Source organism: Homo sapiens, chromosome 2, assembly GCF_000001405.40.
Source record: "Homo sapiens chromosome 2, GRCh38.p14 Primary Assembly".
Classification (NCBI taxonomy): Eukaryota; Metazoa; Chordata; class Mammalia; order Primates; family Hominidae; genus Homo; species Homo sapiens.
The window spans coordinates 3633599-3653999 of record NC_000002.12 but is presented as its reverse complement, the minus strand read 5'-3'; the positions used below and the strand labels follow the sequence as shown (position 1 = coordinate 3653999).

General features: G+C 55.6%; 2 protein-coding genes across 14 annotated transcripts in view, besides 3 other annotated features; both read right to left on the bottom strand.

Moving 5' to 3' along the window:
• ALLC (allantoicase) overlaps positions 1-8181 on the bottom strand; it is a 56853-nt gene extending 48672 nt beyond the window's left edge. Inside the window, exons 1-2 of the mRNA XM_017004495.2 lie at positions 7673-8181; positions 7295-7512 (exon numbers count right to left, since the gene is read on the bottom strand). Of these exons, the coding sequence (XP_016859984.1) occupies positions 7295-7436 (142 nt within the window). The 5' untranslated portion in view covers positions 7437-7512; positions 7673-8181. The remainder of the gene's footprint in view (positions 1-7294; positions 7513-7672) is intronic.
• Positions 1311-2059: an enhancer, noted in NCBI's record as "H3K27ac-H3K4me1 hESC enhancer chr2:3699531-3700279 (GRCh37/hg19 assembly coordinates)". NCBI's record gives its function as "activates a minimal SCP1, AML or CMV promoter by ChIP-STARR-seq in naive H9 embryonic stem cells {active_cell/tissue: H9 hESC(naive)}" and the evidence as "EXISTENCE:reporter gene assay evidence [ECO:0000049][PMID:30033119]".
• Positions 1820-2059: an enhancer, noted in NCBI's record as "active region_15237". NCBI's record gives its function as "activates an Ori minimal core promoter by ATAC-STARR-seq in GM12878 lymphoblastoid cells {active_cell/tissue: GM12878}" and the evidence as "EXISTENCE:reporter gene assay evidence [ECO:0000049][PMID:35858748]".
• Positions 2170-2449: an enhancer, noted in NCBI's record as "active region_15236". NCBI's record gives its function as "activates an Ori minimal core promoter by ATAC-STARR-seq in GM12878 lymphoblastoid cells {active_cell/tissue: GM12878}" and the evidence as "EXISTENCE:reporter gene assay evidence [ECO:0000049][PMID:35858748]".
• COLEC11 (collectin subfamily member 11) overlaps positions 9356-20401 on the bottom strand; it is a 49533-nt gene continuing 38487 nt past the window's right edge. For 7 of the 13 annotated variants that reach the window (NM_199235.3, NM_024027.5, NM_001255982.2 and 4 more), the window contains 4 exons: positions 16396-16467; positions 13669-13722; positions 10461-10556; positions 9356-10273 (listed from right to left, as the gene is read on the bottom strand). In NM_199235.3, the coding sequence (NP_954705.1) occupies positions 9882-10273; positions 10461-10556; positions 13669-13722; positions 16396-16467 (614 nt within the window). In that variant the 3' untranslated portion in view covers positions 9356-9881. Of the gene's footprint in view, positions 10274-10460; positions 10557-12567; positions 12761-13668; positions 13723-16395; positions 16468-20401 lie in introns of all 13 variants that reach the window. The other 6 variants (NM_001255983.2, NM_001255984.2, XM_006711897.4 and 3 more) reach the window with 2 other exon arrangements.

The window sequence follows — 20401 nt, the reverse complement described above, 5'->3', positions numbered from 1 at the left end:
CCACCCAGCAAAGCTGCTCCCAAGCTCCTGGGTCACAGGAACCATGCAAGCTAAGATCTATTAATCGTGGGATAATTCGTTACACAGCCATAGATGATAAACCCCAGCAGGGAAGCCTGATGGGGGATGAGGGATGAGAAAGGCTTAGAATAAGACTGAGGGCTGCAGCACAGGGGTAGCAGGAGCGGGAAAGATACACAGGACATGTTGGAATAGGCTTGGCCCTCACCAGAGTCTTCCCTCAGCTCTGCCACGCACCATCATGGCCCACGGGATGAGGGAAACGAGGTGAGCTTGAGGTCATCAAGGATGAGCAGAGCATCTCGGTGTGGTCTGGCAGCACCCTCGTGGTACCTGAGCCCAAGAGCAATGCCAGAAACTGTCTTCTCGACACCCACTGCTGCCACAATCCCCCAACAAACTGTGATGGAATTTTTTAGCAGAAGGACCTACCCCAGCTCACAGTGCCTGACACACCTTCAGGGAAAGCGGCAAGGGCTGGATCGTAGCTGGCAGGACGCAGGTCCACTTGGGCCACCAGGCCTTCAGTTCAACACATGCCCAGTCCTTGCCGGTCACCTGGAGTGGCCTTCCCTCTCCTCTCCAAACCCTGCCACAATGGATGTCTGTCCTGATTCTGGCCACATCTGAACTTCCTTCACACAAGTGGCAAACTGCAAACGTGGCCACAGTCCCTCACACCCCTGTGCAATGGAACTCCACAGCTTCTCCCATCATGGGCAGAGTCTATTTCCTGACCCCTGGGCTCACCTCATGACCAACTTGGGGCACAGAAGGAGACAGAGTGATGCTCCAGCTCTGAGTGGAGGCTTCGGGGGGCCCCGTGTGCACCCACTCTTTTTGAAGCAGCGCCAAAATGCTGCTGCCACCCTGCAGACATGTTCAGGCCAGTTACTTGAAGTGAGAATCTGCAGGCTGCAGACAGGCCTCCCAGCTGATGCACTGGAGACCAGCCACCCCACCAGCTACCCAGAGACACCAGAGTGAGCCCAGCCAAGACCATAACAACTGCCCAGCTTAGCTCAGTCCAAATTGCTGACTACAGAGTTAAGATTAATGGTTAAATGGATGGTTATTATTTAAAATCACTAAGTTTTGGCCAGGCGTGGTGGCTCACGCCTGTAATCCTAGCGTTTTGGGATGCTGAGCCAGGCTGATTGCCTGAACTCAGGAGTTCAAGACCAGACTGCGCAACACGGTGAAACCCCATCTCTACTAAAACACAAAAAATTAGCCGGGCATGTGGCACACGCCTATAGTCCCAGCTACTTGGGAGTCTGAGGCAAGAGAATCCCTTGAACCGGGAGGCTGCAGTGAGCCGAGATCACGCCACTGCATTCCAGCCTGCTAAACGAGCGAGACTCCATTTCCAAAAAAAAAAAAAAAAAAAAAAAAAAATCACAAAGTTTTGGGGTGGTTTGTTACACAACAAAAGCTAACTGATATACGCTGTTTGGGATATCTCCATCCTTAGGAAACACATTTTCTTCCCACCATAGAAATGGAAAAATATGTGCTTCCCAGCCTCCTTTGTATCTAAGGCATGGACGCCTACAAAGCTTCCATGTAGAATTGTGCGGATTGTAGCTCTATGAATAGTGGCTCTGGATTTGTGCAGTGCACAACCTGTGCAGGCCCACAAAATGGCCCCGAGCTCTAGGTACCAGACAGACCGGCCCCCAGGCTCTGCACAGGAAGCTAGTGAAATGCAAACACAGCAGCACAGCCGCTTCCATAGCAACAGCGGGCAGCCTAGCAACCACCCGCACCTGCTGCTGGCAGCCGAGGGGCCCTTGCAGGTCGTGGTGGGCGGCACAATCCATGGGCTTTGTTCCCTTCCACACGCACCGAGGCGGGGCTCCGGGCCTCCCAGAATTCCTGCGAGCTCCCAAAACGCTTTCAACAAATTCCCTTTGTGCTTAAATTAGCCCGACTGCGATTTTCCTGCTTGCAACTAAGAAACGTGTGGTTCTTGGTTCCGAACTGCTGAGCTGAGCCGGGTTGCGTCTGGTGACCTCAGCCCTCACCGGCCACAGACCCTGATGGGCCCACAGGGGAAGCGAAGGGCACGGTTTCCATGCAGTGACCTTGAGTTGCCTTCTACGGCGTGGGCAGAGCGCGAGAGCAGTTTCAGGCCTAAGGGAGGAGCATCCGGATGAATAGCTGCCCGCGAATAAGGACGATTGAGAGCCACGCGACATCTGTCAGGGATCTCGTCCTGCCCCTGAAGAAACGCCGGGCATGTTTCCCGCCTCCCCGGCCGATGGAGCTCCGCATGGGGTTGGCCCAGCCTCCATCCAGAGTTCGTCTTTGCCATCAACGGCCAAAGTGACCTTTCTTTCTCCTGACTGCTCTTTCGGTCGTCAGGTCTACGTGGCTGCTGTCACCGCAGGGACACAACGTGGGTGCCACTGAGGATGAGAACTCACGCGGAGCGAGGCCGGGTGCTTTCTGAAGAGTCTGACACCTCGGCCTCTGCCTCCTGCTCCCGCCTGCTCTTTGTCCTTTCTACGCCTTTAACTCGTCTCCCTTCCTAACACACACACACACACACACACACACACACACACACACACACACACACACACACACACACACACACACACACACACACACACACACACACACACACACACACACACACACACACACACACACCCCCCCCACCCACCCACCCACCCAAAAAGAATTCCCGCAAGCATCGGCGGCCTGAGCGCCCTCCGTGGCTCTGCAAACCTCCCCGCGCCTGTGTGGGCGCCGCCGTCCTCGTCCTCTTTTCCCACTAGATGGCAGTATGGAGCCACGGATCCGCCGCCACCGCCGGGCAGCCCCAGGCTGTGTGTCTGCGCTCATCCATCTCAGCCCACGCTTCAGAGGGCTCTGAGAAATACACGCGTGCCAGCTCTCCGGTCATGCCTCAATGCAGCACCTAATAAATCCCGGCTCTCTCCTTAACCAAACCGTTTCCCTCCTACTTTGCAGATCAGATTCTGCAGTCTACACAATAGGTCTCCTCCTCGGAAGTTATGGGAATAAAATCAGGGTAATGGTTCTGACTTCAGGCCCAGTGTTTATAGCCCCTCACGTTTGCTTTAAAGCAAGCATAATCCTACACTGCTGAATTAACCAGGTACAAAGAAAGGCCCCGTGCGCCTTCACTGTGCCTGCTATTAACACAGACTCCCCTCCATGAAGCCTGGTGGAGGGTCTGCAGGGTGGGGACTGCGTGACAGTGGGTACCCACATGGGAGGGGTAGTGTGGAGGCAGAGGTGTTTGTACCCAAGCTCCTCGCCTGTATGGGAGTAAACTGAGCCCCAGACAAGTGCGAGACGCCCCAGGAGCAGAGCATCTGGAAGGGAGGTGCACGCACTGCTGACCCCCACAGAACTATGGGGCAGGTGGCTGCCAGGGCCCACATGTTCACCGGGCCGAGGGGCTTCAAGGTGCTGCTGGGGCTGGAGCTGCAGCTGCCCGCTTGCCCAGGCCTCACCAGGCTTCCACCTGACAGTCACCGTGGTGCGCTGTTTCTCTCACTCAGTAGCCAGCAAACAGCGCTCAGCATCAGTCCTGGCAAGGCAGGCTGCCTGGGTCAACTCAGGGGCCATCAGCCCGGTGGCCGGCCACAGACAGGGAATCCTGGCTGCCCCGAGAGCCCTGTGGATGCCACTCCGGCCCCCAGGAGGAGCAGTGGGAGCTCCTGCAGGAACCTGGAACAGGGCTTTGCTATCTAATTCCCTAAACCCCAGAACCCAGAGAGTGTTCCCTCCTCCAGGAGGTGTCCCGGCTTCCTCTGCCCTCTCAGCCAGCGCTGCCCTCTTCCCTTCCAATTGAGGGCACTGTGCAGCCAGTGCCGAACGGCTCTTGTTTTCTGCAAGAATCAGACATAAGAGGGGAGAAAGGGGTGAAGACCCACAGATGACGGCTCCGTGCCTTCCAGGGCACTAATGCATCACGTCCAGTTCCTCACAGAACAAATTTGGAAAACGTCTTAGACGCTGCTGAACAGCTGTAGCTGGGGAAGCTACGGGCAGCAAGTCCTCGAATTGTTTCATCCAACCTTGCTTCGTTGTAACACTGATGAGGAAAAACACTGAATCCCAGCTGGGGCCGCTGTCTGTGGCGTCTGTTTGTTCTCCCCATGTCTGCGTGGGTTGTCTCTGGGCACTCTGGTTTCCTCCCGCGTCCACACGTGTGCACGTGAGTCCCTGGTGTGTCTGCCCGGTCCCTGTGTGAGTGCGGGTGTGTTGCCCTGCGATGGGACAGCGTCCTCTCCAGGGCTGGAGCCCACCCTGCACCCTGAGCTGCCAGGTCAGGCGTGGGCCACCCGCACCCCTGAACCAGAATCACTGGGTAACATGGATCTTATTTCTATTAATCTTTCTTAAATGTATGTGTAAACCACATTTACTTCAGTATTTAATATTAGAAGTGTTTGGGGGCCGGGCGCGGTGGCTCACGCCTGTAATCCCAGCACTTTGGGAGGCCGAGGCGGGTGGATCACGAGGTCAGGAGATCGAGACCATCCTGGCTAACACGGTGAAACCCCGTCTCTACTAAAAATACAAAAAATTAGCCGGACGTGGTGGCGGGCGCCTGTAGACCCAGCTGCTCAGGAGGCTGAGGCAGGAGAATGGCGTGAACCCAGGAGGTGGAGTTTGCAGTGAGCCGAGATCGCACCACTGCACTCCAGCCTGGGCAATAGAGCGAGACTCCGTCTCAAAAAAAAAAAAAAAAGAAGTGTTTGGGGTCTTTTTTCGAAGTCTGGTGATGACCCTGTGACCAGAATGACACCCTAGGCACTTCAGTCTTGCTCATTAACGCGCCCATTGTGGAACTGGTTTCATTAACTGCCATTTCACCCAAGCCTGCCATTTCCAAGAACCTATGACGTGTGTTGCCGTTTCTATGAACCCGTCTACGGCGTGCATGAGAACGTACTGTCCTGGGCTATGTTCACCACTGCCTGGCACCCAGGCTTCTCTACGGGGCCAGGTACTCAGTACTCAACACCCAGTACTCTGCCACGCCGACCGCCCTACACACATCGTGTCATGTAATCCTCACAAGGCCCCAGTGGGAGGCATGAAAATCATTCACTCCACCAATGAGGAAACTGAGGCTTAGGATGTTTCTGTAACTTCATGAAGATCACACTGTCACTTGAAGTCGTGTCCCAGCCTGGGACACAGCGGGTCGTGTGATGCGCTGGTGGAAGAGGCGGCCGTCTGCCCACATGGATTTGCAGGAGGACAGGGGTTGGTGTTGGAGCAGAGAATGGGGGGCAGTGGACAGCCTACAGCCCCGTGGACACTTGGACAAAGATGCTGTGGGCAGCCCTAGGGGAATGGAGGCCCAGCTGGCAGGCCTTCCCTGTGGCCAGGAGTCCGCACATGGAAGCAGAGTCTCCACCCACTCTGTGGGCAGCACCCCAGACCCTGCAGGATCCCCGAGGCCAGCAGCACCTCCAGGACTGGTGGACCTGGGGCAGCCAGGGAGGCTTTGTGGGCAGTGGATGCCGCCGTGCAGGTGAGGAAGAGCCAGCCAGCCTCACATGCACAGAGCTGACACCCTATGTGTGCACGAGAGCTTTGCCAGTGTCAGGAGCGTCTTGGCTCCCCCAGCCTGGGCAGAGCAGCCTCGAGCATGTGAAAGCCTCATCAAAGACAGATGGGAAGACATGCTTTCCTGTGTGACTGGGAGACGTGTCAGGGAGAAGCCACTCCACATAATGAATAAGACTCATCCATTAAAATAATTACCTCTGCTCCTTAATGGGGGGAGAAATGGAAAAGAGGACAAACCTCTCTAGGCCAAAGAGCTCTCCTGCTCCCATCCTGAGGGCCCAGACTCATCACTAGCACAGGAGTGGGAGAGGCTGCCAGGGCTGCCGGGCTCCCTGGCGCTGCTGTCCCCAGGACACCCACTGCCCATTGCCCCACACCTGCCCACTGCACCATCATCAGCAGAGCCTGGTCTCTCCTCTCCTGCCTGTAACTCACAGGCCCAGACTTGGCATTGGATTGGTTATCAAATTTGTAAGTGCAGCCATTCAACCTCCAGGTCTGTTTCTCCCCTACAGATAGGGTCTCACCGGCGCACATCAAGGTGCAGTCAAGGAGCCTGACCGCAGCTGGGTTGCGAGAGTGAAGGCTGAGACAACGCTAGTGTCCATCAGGAGAGGATGCGTTAGTGATCACCAGGGAGTGAAGGCTGAGACAACGCTAGTGTCCATCAGGAGAGGATGTGTGAGTTACCCCCAGGGGCATCAGGAGAGGATGTGTGAGCAACCCCCAGGGGCATCAGGAGAGGACGGGTGAGCGACCCCCAGGGGCATCAGGAGAGGACGGGTGAGCGACCCCCAGGGGCATCAGGAGAGGACGGGTGAGCGACCCCCAGGGGCATCAGGAGAAGATGGGTGAGCGACCCCCAGGGGCATCAGGAGAAGATGGGTGAGCGACCCCCAGCGGCATCGGGAGAGGATGGGTGAGTAACCCCCAGCGGCCACACTCTGGAATACTCTGCGGCAGGATGGGAGAAGCAGGCAGGCCCCATGGGCAGCATGGGAATTGCCCCAAGACAGGTTGCTGATGAAGAAGGTGAGAAAGAATGCCCACCCCCGAGGCATTCTCCAGATACGTTTTAATCGTGTGTGTATGTGTGTGTGTGTGAGTGTGTGCATGCTCTTGAAAAAGGCCTAGAAAGACTGACCCTCAACTAGAGCAAAGTTGACTGAAGTAAAGGAGGATTTTTGCTTCTTAGACGTATGTGTGTGTCGCGTTGAACATATTACCAATTACATTCACATGGTCCCTGTGTCATCACACGCGCAACCCCTGCAGCCTGTCTGGGGCCCTATATTTCAAGGCCACCTCAGCGAACCAGAGAGTTCAGAGGCAATGGGGGGATGAGGGGTGCGGGGGCTGAGGGAGTGGCTCTGCGTCCTCACGGGGATGATGGACAGCAGGGCACAGCCTGTGAGACCAGAAGTGGGGACCACTGAGGACTTGCCCATTCAGTGAGATGACCTGCTCAGTGACAACCCTCCCCACACACAGCCTGGCCCCCCAACACACAAACACAGCAGCATCCCCCAATTCTTCAGCTATACTCCAGGCATTGTTGGAACTGCCACACAGAAAACCATGGGTCTGACAGAGTCAGAAACGGAGAAATATTCAAACTGACTGCTTAGTAAATGAATGCATGGGTGAGCAGATAGAGGGGTGAGTTAATGGCTGCAGTAGCTTGTAAGCACCAGAAGGATATACGCACCAGTAGGAAGACTCCATCTCTCATACACAGAGTCTGCGCCAATGAAGCAAAAGCCTGGTCGCTCTGACGGGCTCCCTTCCAGCAGGCGAGGCAGCGGCACCTGCTTCTCCAGCTGTACATCATTCCCTGGAACCTGCTCCATGAAGACAAGGTGCTCCTCTTCCCATCCAAACAAACCAGGGACCACTCAGGTCCGGAATAAACTTGTTTGCTATGTCCTTCCAATGAGATGAGAATTAAATTCAAGGAGATATCAAGAAATTCCTGTCAAGAACTGTGAAAGGCCTGAGATTTTACCCTACTTACAGTCCCAGGTTCATGGGTGCTGGCTGAAGACATGAGACTTCTGGGTCAGAGATAAAGGACTTTGTTACTTACAGCAACAGCCATAGCTGGGGTATTGGCATTTCTGCACCAGTATCCTGGGCTCCACTCCCTTCAGGGGTTCAGGAAGAAGGCAGACAGCACCCGCACATGCAGTGGGTCCGTTACAGGGAGGACCCTTGAGCCTAGGGAACCCGGTTCTTCTCTAGCAGGTAGTACACATGCCTGCACTCTTTCCTGGAGGGAGACATCATCTTTATTATGCTGGACAGTAACCATGCCTGCCTGTTGCCACAGAACGAGACACTCTATTTTCCAAGGCTGCGGGCAAACCTGCCCTTTTCTCCGGTGGGGAGACAGGGAAGGGAGACACTATCTTTATCTTCCAAGGCATTTCACTGTACAAACACCCAGAATAGATAACTTAGAACAAAGGGCCGTCGGGGCCTCCCTCACAGGATGTGCACAAATACACCCACCCCTGGGAGCCAGCTCCACAGCTCCCTCTCGCCCCACAACACCAGCTGGGAGGGAATGTACATGTACGTGTGTTCTATTTTAAAAATGAAGATACTTGTTATTTTTATTGGGATTCTGAAATACAAAAAAAAAAAAACCATGAGGTACTGTGGCAGGCAGCTTCTGAACTGACCCCCAGTGGTCCCCACCCCCTGGTATTCACCCCCATGTATGGGCTGCACCCGGTGCCTCGCCTCAAGCTGGTAGAGCACCACAGAGGGAAGGCACGTGCTGTGGTTTGCTGTTGGGCCTCTCCAGATCTCATGTTGAAATGTGACCCTCATGGTGGAGGTGGGGCCAAATAGGTGTTTGGGTCGGGAGCGGAACCCTCATGAGTATCTTGGGTGCTGTCCTCAGTCCTTACCCTAGTGAGCAAGTTCTCACTCTGCTAGTTCCCTAAGCTGATTGATTATGCAGAACAGCCCGGCACCTCCCTCTCTTTCTTCGTGGCTTCCCTCTCCCCATGTGATCTCTGTGAGTGCCGGCTCTCCCTCCCCCTCCACTTGAGAGTGGACGCAGCCTGAGGCCTCACCAGGAGCAGATGCTGGCACCACGCTTCTGGTGCTGCCTGCAGAACCGTGAGCCAAATAAACCTCTTTGTTGATCTGTTGCCCAGCCTCGGGTTTTCCTTTGTGGCAACGCAAATGGATGCAGACAGCAGGATATGTCCAGGTGAGCTTAGGAAAGGCTGCGGCTTCTCTCTTCGGCTCTTCTCCTGGGCTGCTCTGAGGAAGGTGCTGTCATGTTGTGGGCAGCCCAGGGGAAGGGCCCCTGTGACAGGGAACTGCGGGAGCCTGTGACCCACAGCTGGTGGGAAACTGAGGCCCTCCATCCAACAACCCAGGAGGACCTGAGCTCTGCACAAACCACACGAGGAGTGACCTTGGTTCCAGCTTGGGAGAGGCCCTGAAGTAGAAGACTGAGCTAAGCCCTGTGCCGATTCCTGATCTGGGAGGTAATCAATCTTTCTTAGGCCACTGAGTTTTGGGGTAATTTGTTAGGCAGCAATAAATAACTCATACAAGCCGGGTGTGGTGGCTCCTGCCTGCAGTCCCAGCTATTCAGGAGAGGTGGGAGGATCGCTTGAGCCCAGGAGTTCAAGGCCAGCCTGGGCCACATAGCAAGACCTCACCTCTACAAAAGTTAATTAAAATAAAAGATAACTAATACAGCTATTGAAAAAATTAAGAGAACAAAATGACTCCACACATTTAGTAGTAAAGTTTGGAGAATTTTGTTGTTGTTTTCCTGAAATCTGGGTTTGAAGCAAAGCAAAATTGTTTTTACATGGATAATAGTGTGAAGGAACCTATATTGTAATGTAATTTACAGAAGTGTTGGTCAAAGTGAGTTCTTTTCCATATAGAAATTAAAAGGTAGTAATTCAAGACCCCATTGCCACTATTTGGACTTAACTACTGCACTACTTAAAGATTTTATTGTATAGCTTGGACAAAGGCACAAGCTTTATGGAAGAGCAATTCTGGGTAATAATTACATAATGACATTGGGGCTACAATACAGGTAATGAAACTCTGCTTCTTCAGAGACAGCACCCCAGGAACACTTTCATTTTCCTCTTAAGCATAGGCCATTTTCTCAGTTTAGACAACAGCCCTCTACTCAGTGAGCCTCCACCCTTCACAGAGGGACAGCTCCCTGGCTGGCACCATGGTCTGGGCTCTGTCCCTGCCAACCCTGCAGGGACATGTGGGGCCCCCAATGGGCAGCCCCAGCCTGAGGCTCACATGTTCTCCTTGTCAAACTCACACATGAAGTACATGGTGGTGTGGCAGGCCACGTCGTTCCAGCCGCCCGAGGCCACCATCTCCACGCAGTCCTCCTCGTCGTAGGCATTGTTGGGCTCACCGCTGCGCCACTTGTTGAAGGTCCGCATGGGGGAGTGGTCAGAGTACACGAAGGCGCCCTCCTTCTCCAGGTCGTTGATGCCGATGAAGACACGGGCCAGGCCGGCTTGCGCCAGGTATGCGGCCATCAGGCCATTGGCAGCCTCGTCCTTGGGCATGCTCAGCGTGCCCCCGCGGCCCTGGCAGGACAGCTGGGCGTCCGCGTAGCGCTTCTCCTCCTTCACCAGCAGGTAGATCTTGCTCTCCGTCTCGCGCACACCGGCGACAGCTGTGGGGTAAGGCAGGGTTGAAAAGTGAGCACTTGTATGTGTGCAACAAACTTAAGGCACAGCCACAGGCAGCAGGGGCCGGCAGGGCAGGCAGGGCAGGCGTGGGCACGGCAGAGCCCTTGCCGGGGGGCTCAGGACAGGGCTGGGAGGTGGGAGGGAGCGAGGGCGGCGCCGGGAGCCACATACCATTCTTGATGAACTTGAGCTCGCTGGTCAGCTGAGAGACCTGGTTGTCCATCTCCCCGATGGCCTTGCGCAGCTGGCTGCACTCACATGGGAGGCCTGCGGGGGCCAGGCCCACGCGTTACAAACGCTGGATGAGGACTCGGACTCAGAAGAGAGGCGAGGACCCCTCCCCGGAAATGCACATTTTACTCAACAAACGTGCCCCACGGGCCTTTGAGGCCGCAATAACCATCACCCACTTCATCCTAAAGGCAGGGGGAGCAGGGAAGGACCTCCACAGGAGTGGAGGGAGGGCAGACACATGTATTTCAAACCTCTCCAGCTGTAGGGGGAAGAGAAATGGAGGTGCAGGGGTGGGAAGCAGCCCAGGGCAGGGTTGGGAACCAGGGAAGCAGGTCTGGCTGAGGGCGTGCAGTGAGAAAAGCTAGAACATCTGAGGAAGATGGTGGGGATGGCCAGCAGGCCTCCATGGCTTGGGGGCACTGCAGGGCTGAGGGGAGCTGAAGGGCGCAGTGGCGTCTGTCAGGAATGGAAGAGGTGGTGGGGCCATTCCATTGCTGGCTGGGCAAAGGAGGTGGAATCTGCCAACACTCAGGTGCCTGTGACATGTCAGGTGGGGAGTGGGGGCCAGGGCAGAGCTGGGCATCGTGGGCACACACAGGGCGTGAGGGACGGCTCAGGGAGGGAGGACAGAGCAGCATCACCAGGAGCACCTGCAGGCCGTGGGTGAGGCCTGGGAGGAAGTGAGGAAGGCAGGCCGCGCCCACAGGACAGGTGCTGCCATGGTCTGGTGGGAGGATGGCTGGAGCGGCCCTCAGACCCACCACCTAGCGATCAAGGGCTGTCCCAGCTGGATGATGCGGCAGGAATGTGGAGGGAAAGACAGGGGCCCGGGGTACAGAACTCTGGGGAGCTGCACACGTGAGGCCGCTAGAGAGGAGCTCTGCGGCTTTGCAGTCGTTTTGCTTTAAGACAAGAATTGCTTGCATATATTGAAACGGTGGTGAAAGGGAGCTGATAGGGAGGGAGGGATGAAGCCGGTGTCTGTCCTGACACACAAGAGTGAGCAACACAAGTGGCCTGATGAGAGGGACATGGGTGGGACGCAGAGCCATGGTGGGAAGCCACCTCCCACACTGAAATAACAGGGAACACCTCACAGGCCTTTCTGGCAACAGATCTCATTCTCAATGAGCTCATTCCGTTCCCATACGCCTGTGACCACACGCGTGCTGCTCCTATCCCTGCATCACATCTGACATCACTGAGAGCCACGGGGCATGGAGAGCCTGAGATCTGGGCCCAGGCAGACAGTCTGGGCTCCAAAATCGAGTATCTGTGCCCCTGTGGCTAGGCGGGAAGTCCCTCTGATGCCTCGCAGACGGCACGGTGTCCAGAACACGCAGCTGTCCTAAGTCTTCTCTCGCTAATCAACTGAGCTACACTCCGCCCTCCCAGTTCTGCCAACCGATTCCCTCCGGCTGCGAGTTTGTTCCTAGTCCCTGGACGGACCCTAACCTTCTTCCTGTGAAGAGTGACACCTGGTCATCGCCTCCGTGGTGCCGGGGCTCCCCGTGGCCCAGCAGCCTCTGCCTGTCCCCAGGATCGGAGCCTGGGCCTGCCCAGCACCTCACCATCCACCCCCATCGCTGCGGTGTGCGGGTGGGCTTTACGCCTTTTCCCACAGTTTCCACTGGGCAGAGTCTCAGCCCACCCTGCAGTCTGGCATATCCTGTAGAAGTTCAATCCCTCTTTCTGGACGTCGGCAATCACGTAGAGCCCAAACCACCTTCCTCGCCCTCATACGTGAGACACCCCCCCTCCACTCACACTTGCACATTTGAAACTCGATCTTTCTTGGGGTTTGCCTTGGTTTTGGGGGTTTTCTTAATGGAAGTTTTATCTAAGATAAAATTTGTTAAATATATTTTATCTTCAAGCTGGCTGAGGTTTGAGGTAATAGAGGCTTTCTGGAGAGATCCCTGTCAGGGGAAGTGGATGGATTCCTTTCCTCATTTAACCTCCAAACTCTGACCAAGCTAGGCCTGACGATAGCAGCTCAGCCCCGGGATGGGACGTCCCCTCTCCTTGCCCCGCCGTCACCTGCCTCCAGGTCCTTCTGTCTCCCAGAGGCTTTGTCCGGGCCCCTCAGGTTGGCTGAGTGCCTGGAGGTGCCCTGAGCGGATGCTGCTCGGCCAGTCAGTGACACTGATCTCAGCGCACTCACACTCAGCCAAGTCACACCGGCAAGCACACCTTCCAAGCAGCCGTTCCTCCTCATCTCTGCGGTGCCGAAGGAGCTTTTAAAACAAGGACTTTTATTCAGAAATCCAGCCCCTCTCTTTTCTCCCTGGTATCCAAGAGTCAGATCCTTCTCGGAAAGCACCTTCCGAATGGGATCCACCGTGGGGTCTACATGGTGGGTGGGTGTCCACCGTGGGGTCTACATGGTGGGTGGGTGTCCACCGTGGGGTCTACATGGTGGGTGGGTGTCCACCGTGGGGTCTACATGGTGGGTGGGTGTCCACCGTGGGGTCTACATGGTGGGTGGGTGTCCACCGTGGGGTCTACATGGTGGGTGGGTGTCCACCGTGGGATGTGACGGGGGTGGGTGTCCGCCGTGGGATGTGACGGGGGTGGGTGTCCGCCGTGGGATGTGACGGGGGTGGGTGTCCGCCGTGGGATGTGACGGGGGTGGGTGTCCGCCGTGGGATGTGACGGGGGTGGGTGTCCGCTGTGGGATGTGACGGGGGTGGGTGTCCACTGTGGGATCTACATGGTGGGTGGGTGTCCACCGTGGGATGTGACGGGGGTGGGTGTCCACCGTGGGATGTGACGGGGGTGGGTGTCCACCGTGGGATGTGACGGGGGTGGGTGTCCGCTGTGGGATGTGACGGGGGTGGGTGTCCGCTGTGGGATGCGACGGGGGTGGGTGTCCACTGTGGGATCTACATGGTGGGTGGGTGTCCACCGTGGGATGTGACGGGGGTGGGTGTCCACCGTGGGATGTGACGGGGGTGGGTGTCCACCGTGGGATGTGACGGGGGTGGGTGTCCACTGTGGGATGTGACGGGGGTGGGTGTCCACTGTGGGATGTGACAGGGGTGGGTGTCCACTGTGGGATCTACATGGTGTAGATCTACATTGTTTTCAAAAGTGCAATTTTTAATACATTTTATTAAAAATCCTTGGACCCTTTATGCCATACCTGGTTCTCCATTAGGACCAGGGGGTCCTATGTCACCGGAATCTCCTTTCTCACCTGAAAATAAAAAACAAGGTCCAAGTCACCAGGCAGAGATGGACATGTTCTATGTGTTAAAAACATCAAGACTGAAAATGTGATTTGTCTCGCGGATTTATCCCAGGCCCTCTTGTTGCTACAAAGTACCGGAGCCCCATTCTGCAGGTAATTCCTGCTTCCGGCACTATTTATGTGATACGAACCATATACATGTCATGGGGTGACAGGGATTATCGAGTGATCATTCTTTAAATCAGTTCTGGAAAATCCAGGATATCTGATAGAACACTCTGCAGACATCGCCTCATGAATCCCTGGTGCCATGAGTGAGTGGCCACTCCTCCCAACAGCAGCACCCGACCTCTCTCATGACAGCAGGAAAATCCAGACGGAGCATGATGGGAGCGCCACGCAGGCCTGAGAGCTCATCTAATCCAAGAGTCGGTGCACTCCTTCCTGCCCTGGCTCAAGGTCCTTCCCATCCCTGCTCGTAGCAGCCTGGTGTCCTGGAGGGCCCAGATGCCAGGAGCCTGGGCTCCATCCTGGCCTGGACCCAACCTCCAGTTAGATGGGACAAGCCACCTCACCACCCTGCCCCTCAGTTCTCCTCAACGTCCAAAACAAGGGGGTTGAACAAAATGATGGCAACAGGGCTTTCTAGCTGCTCTAAAATTAAGTCATGTGACTTAATAGAAATAAGTTCTAATGCATTCTCTTTATTCTCACAGAGAGGCCCCAAATGCCTCTGAGAAAAGACTTCAGTAGATTCCAATTCCATTCGCATAAGGAGGGAAGGAGTTTCGCAGTCTCCACCCACCTGATTCCTCTGTGTTCCTTTATCAGCATCGGGAGCTTGGAAATGAAAGCACAGCTTGACCAGAACCCAGGATGACAATCTCAGACACGAAGCAAATCAAATAAGCAAAGCCAAACAAGGCCAGCCTGGACCAGCTGCCCCTTAGGAGATGCCGGAATCTGCCCAGAGCACACACCGCATGGTAAAAGTATACACATCCCCATGTGTGAGTCAATACGCAATGTGGCGTTATTCACAAAAGGCAACAGGTGGAAAGAACCCATGTGTCCATCGACAGGTGAATGGACAATAATTGTGGTCCATCCATATGGTGGAATATTATTCCCTAAAAAGGCAGGGGATTCTGACCCACGCTACCACACAGGTGAACCCTGAAAACACTACACCAAGTGAAATCAACTAGACACAGAAGGACAAACATTGTTATTCCACATATGTGAAATATCTAGAATAGGCAAATTCAGAGACAGGAAGTAGATTGGAGGTTACCGGGGCTGGGGGAGGAGGAATGGGGAGCCACTGGTTAGTGGGAAGAGTCTCTCTTTGGAGAGATGAAAAGGGTTTGGAAATAGTGGTAATGGCTGTACACCATTGCAAATGTACTCAATGTCCCTGAATTGTACACTTAAAATACTTAAAATGGCAAGTTTGGGGATATAAGTATTTTACCATGATGTTATTTGGGTTTGTGAAGCCCACGCCTCCCTCCAGATCCTGTGGTTCTCTGCGTGCTCTTCACTGCATTGGCCGTGGCAGGGAAGGTGCCTCTCACGGGTTTTCCAGGGGAGGCCCGCAGCTGAGCTAGGCCCCTCCCCATCGCTCTCCTGGCCACAGAGCCCTTTCTACCAGGTACAGGCTGGGCTAGGGGGAGGTCTGTGACCATGGATCAGAACAAACCATGAGAACCCCCTCACAGCTCAAACCCCAGACCGTAGCCTCTTGGTACCTGGGCCAACCTGCTCCGAGGCAGATGAATGAGGTAGAAGAACCTGGCCCCTGAATTGGACAGACCACAGCAGACTCCCTCCACCGCCAGTGCTCAGGGCAGCTTAGCCGCATTGCTACACTGTGCGGGACCCCAAGGAGACTTCATGAGTCCACACCTGAAGAGCTCAGGGACGGCCAGCTCCTTGCCCTCCCACCGACTTCGTCCCCCAGAGCCCAGCATAGACCTGGAACAAGCCAGGCGCTCCAAAGACGTCCACTGACCAGATGGCGGGGGGCGGGGGCGCATAGGAGCAGCACCTTCTGAGCAACCCCTTGCCTGTCCTGGCCTCAGTCTCTCATCACGGGAGGCGCAGCTGATCTGCCCGCCTTACCACGGCCGTGCAGCCAAATGCAGCAGCGGAGACGGTGCAATTAGAACCCGCAGGTGCAGACTGAGCCCAGGTGCTGGCACCATAGTTGCTGCCCACACCCGCTGCTGCCATCCCACACCCTGTTCTCACCAAGAACCATCCCATCACCTCGAAATACCTGAGACCTGAGCTGGGGGAACAGATGCCGTGCCTCCAGAGCAGGGTGCGTCCGCTCCTTACGTGAGGCTCTAAGTCTGTTACCAAACTTGTTAAGGACATTGTGGCTACACAGCCAGAGTCTTGCCCAAGCACACTAGCTGCAGCCCCTCCATCCTGGGGCGCTGTGAAAATCCTGCAGAATGGGGAGCGCTTCACCGCACCCTGTAAGCACAGAGCCAGCAACTAGCTCCAAGCACCCCAAAAATGGAAGTACTGCAGTAGATTTCTTATCTACCATGCACCGAATATAAATAAGAGCACCAGACGAGACAATTCAGGCTACAATTATTCTCAGGGTATCCAGACGCTGACCCTAGGGGCAGGGGGGAAATGAGGCAAGAATCGCATTGCAAATACCTTTAGAGCCAATGGGACCAATTTTTCCATGACGACCCACACTGCCTTTCTGTCCTTTGTCCCCCATGTCTCCTGTAGAAAACAATAAGAGCAAAGTTGGTCGATGCACAGGTGACACCGTGGCCTCCTCCATCACACACGTGCACGGATAACCCGACCGCCCTCCTTCCTACATCACAGGCACATAGAAGAGACTAAGAAAGACAGCTCTACATCTCTTCAAGGTCACGTATGTGACTGTCACAGGCAGGTCGCCTGTTGATACAGCTTCCAAAGGAAGATGCACTTCCCCCAGAAGTCATACACACTATAGAATGGAGGGGCTGAACGGGGCACCCCTAAGTTCCAAACTCAACCACGGTCCATCCCCTCCGTGCCTGTGTGAGACGAGAGCTCGTCTTTCCTCCATCCCAGCAAGGCAGTGCCTCCCAGCTCCTACTCCTGCACCCCACCAAACCACGCACCCACAACTCTGTAAGCATGGACATAACTGGCACTGTCAGGAACACGGTCTGGTGGGTGGGTGGCAGGTGGAAAAGCCCCTGGCTCCTCTCGGGTGTGTGAACTTGAGCCAGGGAGGAGGGTCCTAGGACACTTCATCAGATGCCTCCCGACCTGACCTGCTCTACAGCAGAATGCCTGATCCCCGTGACCTGCTGGCCCCTGTCCCCAGCTTAGGTGTATGCAGTGGTGGTGTGGGGTGGTGTGTGTCCCCCACCCTTCTCTCATTCATAGCAAGAGGGACACCAAGATCCCACGGGATTGTCTCTCTGATCACTGGACCAAGCCTGAAGAATGCCGCTGTCACCCAGTCCCTAGAACAAACTAAGCCAGAGGGTGGAGTTTCTCAGTACTCCCTCCCGCAAAGTGTTAAGCCCTCAGCAACTGCTCCTACCTGTCTGCTGGTTATCACCACTGACCACCAACCCAACCAGCAGACATCAAACAAGTACATAGGGAAAAACTGGGAAAAGAAACAGGCAACCTGATTTAACTCAGCAATTCTTTTTCATGGACATGTTTACACACTATTAGGACTTCATGATCAGTTATAACCCACCATTGCAGGAACTAAATGAAATTCAATGCGGGAAATTCAATGTGGGCAATCCTGCAAGACAGTGGGTGGTGGGAAGGACTTTCCTTTTTTGAGATGGAGTCTTACTCTGTCACCCAGGCTGGAGTGCAGTGGCGCAATCTCAGCTCACTGCAAGCTCCACCTCCCGGGTTCACACCATTCTTCTGCCTCAGCCTCCCGAGTAGCTGGGACTACAGGCATCCGCCACCACGCCAGGCTAATTTTTGTATTTTTAGCAGAGATGGGGTTTCACTATGTTAGCCAGGATGGTCTCGATCTCCTGACTGCGTGATCCATCCACCTCGGCCTCCCAAAGTGCTGGGATTACGGCGTGAGCCACTGCGCCCGGCGGTGGTGGCGGGAAGGACTTTCTATCGCACGCAGATAACACTCTGTCCTGCAGTGACGCCACCTGCCTCCTTAGAACCAAGGACTTCCCTGCCAGGAACTCCTAGTCTTGTTTTGCGAAGCAGATGTAACGTTCCCCCAATTCAGAATAGACAGAAACCAGAGGATGGAACACAGACTTCAGTGAGCTTTGCTAAAATGAAACCACACATGCCCCTGCAGAGAGTGGTTTACATTGCAATAAAATGCAGCCTTGATTCACAAAGCACGTTCACATGCATTCTCTTATCTGGCTATGAAAATGACATGGCCCGGCATGGCAGAGCCAGGACAACAGCCACACTCTGCTGCTCTGAGGCCCAGGCTGCTCTCCTGATGCTGGCAGCTGGGGGCCACATCCAGCCTGGGGGACGATGCAGGGACGAGGGAGGCAGAGGGAGATCCTAATGGCACCTAGGCTGGAGCTGGACAGCCAGGACGGAGGCGACTCTGCTTCGCACACCAGGCGCTGTGTGTTGCCAGCTGTGCAGGGCGCTGGCTGCAGGGATCAGAGCTCAGGGTTTGCCGGTAAGTCGGGACAGCGGCCCAGCAACTGCAGTGCGTGCGAGGGAAGGGAATAGAAAAGGGGCAACGGGGACACCACTTCCTCGTCCGTCCTCAGAGCCCAGGAAAGCATCGGAGAGGGTGTGGTGCATCTCCGTGCTGCAGGAGATGTGGAGGGTTGGCGAAGAGGGCGGCGAGATCAGACTTGTGTTCAGGAAGCATCTGGCAACACTTGCTGGAAAGACTGAAAGGCGCAAAAGGAGACCAAGGGCAGAGCAGGCTGGGGGTGAAGGGGGTCATGGCAGGCGGGTTCTGGGAGGATAAGAAAAACGCCCAGATTGGGGAGACACCCAGGAGGCAGTGTTGGCAGAACCTCGTGCGTGATGGGATGTGTGGATGAGGCACGCACAGCTGGCACTGAGTGCCAAGCCTCCCCAAGGTAGGCGCAGGGAGACACAGCTCTGGAGAGGCACAGAGGGGGATGTCACGGGGCACGTTGGGAGAGGGGGACAGGCAGGGGATGGGGGACAGGCAGGGGAGAGGGGGACAGGCAGGGGAGAGGGATCATCATGGGACGGTGACAAGGGCCAGGAGGGCACCTGAGAGAAGTGTCCAGTGGGAGGCAGGGGCCCACGTGAGGAAGAGGAGCTGGGGGAGGAACCCAAGGGCAGCGGGGCAGGCAGGGGCACAGCAAGGCGGTGAGAGGCACTATCGCTGGGGGCACCCAGTGAGGACAGGGTCCAAGACATGGGCAGGGCCGGGACCAGGTGGACAGCCAGGAGGTCTCACAGAGGGAGGGGCAGGGCCCCCACACCAGAGGGGGCCCTGCCAGAGTGCTCAGTGCGTTGCCTTCATCGTCAGGGGGCCAGCCCTGCCCTCCTCTGAATCCCTCTCCACGGCAGCCTGTGAGTCCAGCGCCTGCTGGAGCCAACTGGCCTGCTCTTCCCGATGGCAGATGCCAGGTACCCGTTCCTGCTGTTCTGAGTCATGACAATTTCAACCTGAAGATTTCTGTAACAGTAAAATGCCACAGCAGGGAGAGAGAAGGGCAACTGGAACAAACAGCTTCAATCAACTAGCCAACCCATTATACATGCCCAAAACTCGCTGCAAGGGAAGCAATTTGCAGTTCTCCCTGGAATATAACTGAGGGGCCCTGCTTTGCTGCAGGAGGAGGCACGGTACAGTCAGTTCTCATGGCTGGAGGAGCTGGGAAGTTGCTGCTCTGCTGGGTCCGCCCAGCCAGCCTGGTTTTGCGCCCATAGAAATGCAAAGCCAGCTGAATTCACCTTCTCCAAGAGTCCTCTAAACATTTAAAAACTATTATCTGTCTGAAATCTTCCCTTCACCCAGCTAGAAACCTGCAGTCCCTGCCCTATCCTGGCTGCCTTTCCCCAGGACGTACCCTGGAGTGTCTTGGTTCCTCGGAAGGATGGACACAGCCACCCACACTGAGTGCCCAGTCACGGCCTGAGCACCGTCACCTCCTGCAGTGGATGGAACTGTGTCCCCCACCAAATTCCTCTGTTGAAGCCGTGACCCCAAGGTGCTGGTATTTGGAGACAGTTCCTTTGGGAGAGAGTTAGGGCAAGATGAGTTTGTGAGGGCAGGTGTCCCTCACCGTGGTCTGAAGCTGAAAGGTGAGCCCCGTGCTTCTGCTCGGCCTCCCGCAGAGGGTCCTACAGAAAAGCTGATATTCCCTGAAAATGCACATCTGCTGTTTCGTGTTGTCCCAGGCCCTGTCTGCGCAGGAAACATGTGTCTTCCTCGGGCCTCCTGTACCCAGCTCTCCACCGCACCGGTCCTGAGGTTCTGTGCTGACCATGAGGAGGAAGGTCGGGAACACGCATCTTCCTCGGGCCTTCTGTCCAAAGACAAACTCGCCCAGCTCTCCACCGCACTATTCCAGAGGTTCTGTGCTGACCATCAGGAGGAAGGTTGGGACAGCCTCAATGTTTATGCTTCTTATTTCCCCCTCCACGTCTTCACGCCGCTCCCCCGTCGGTCAGCTGTGGTCCCCGCTCTGTCCCCTCGCGA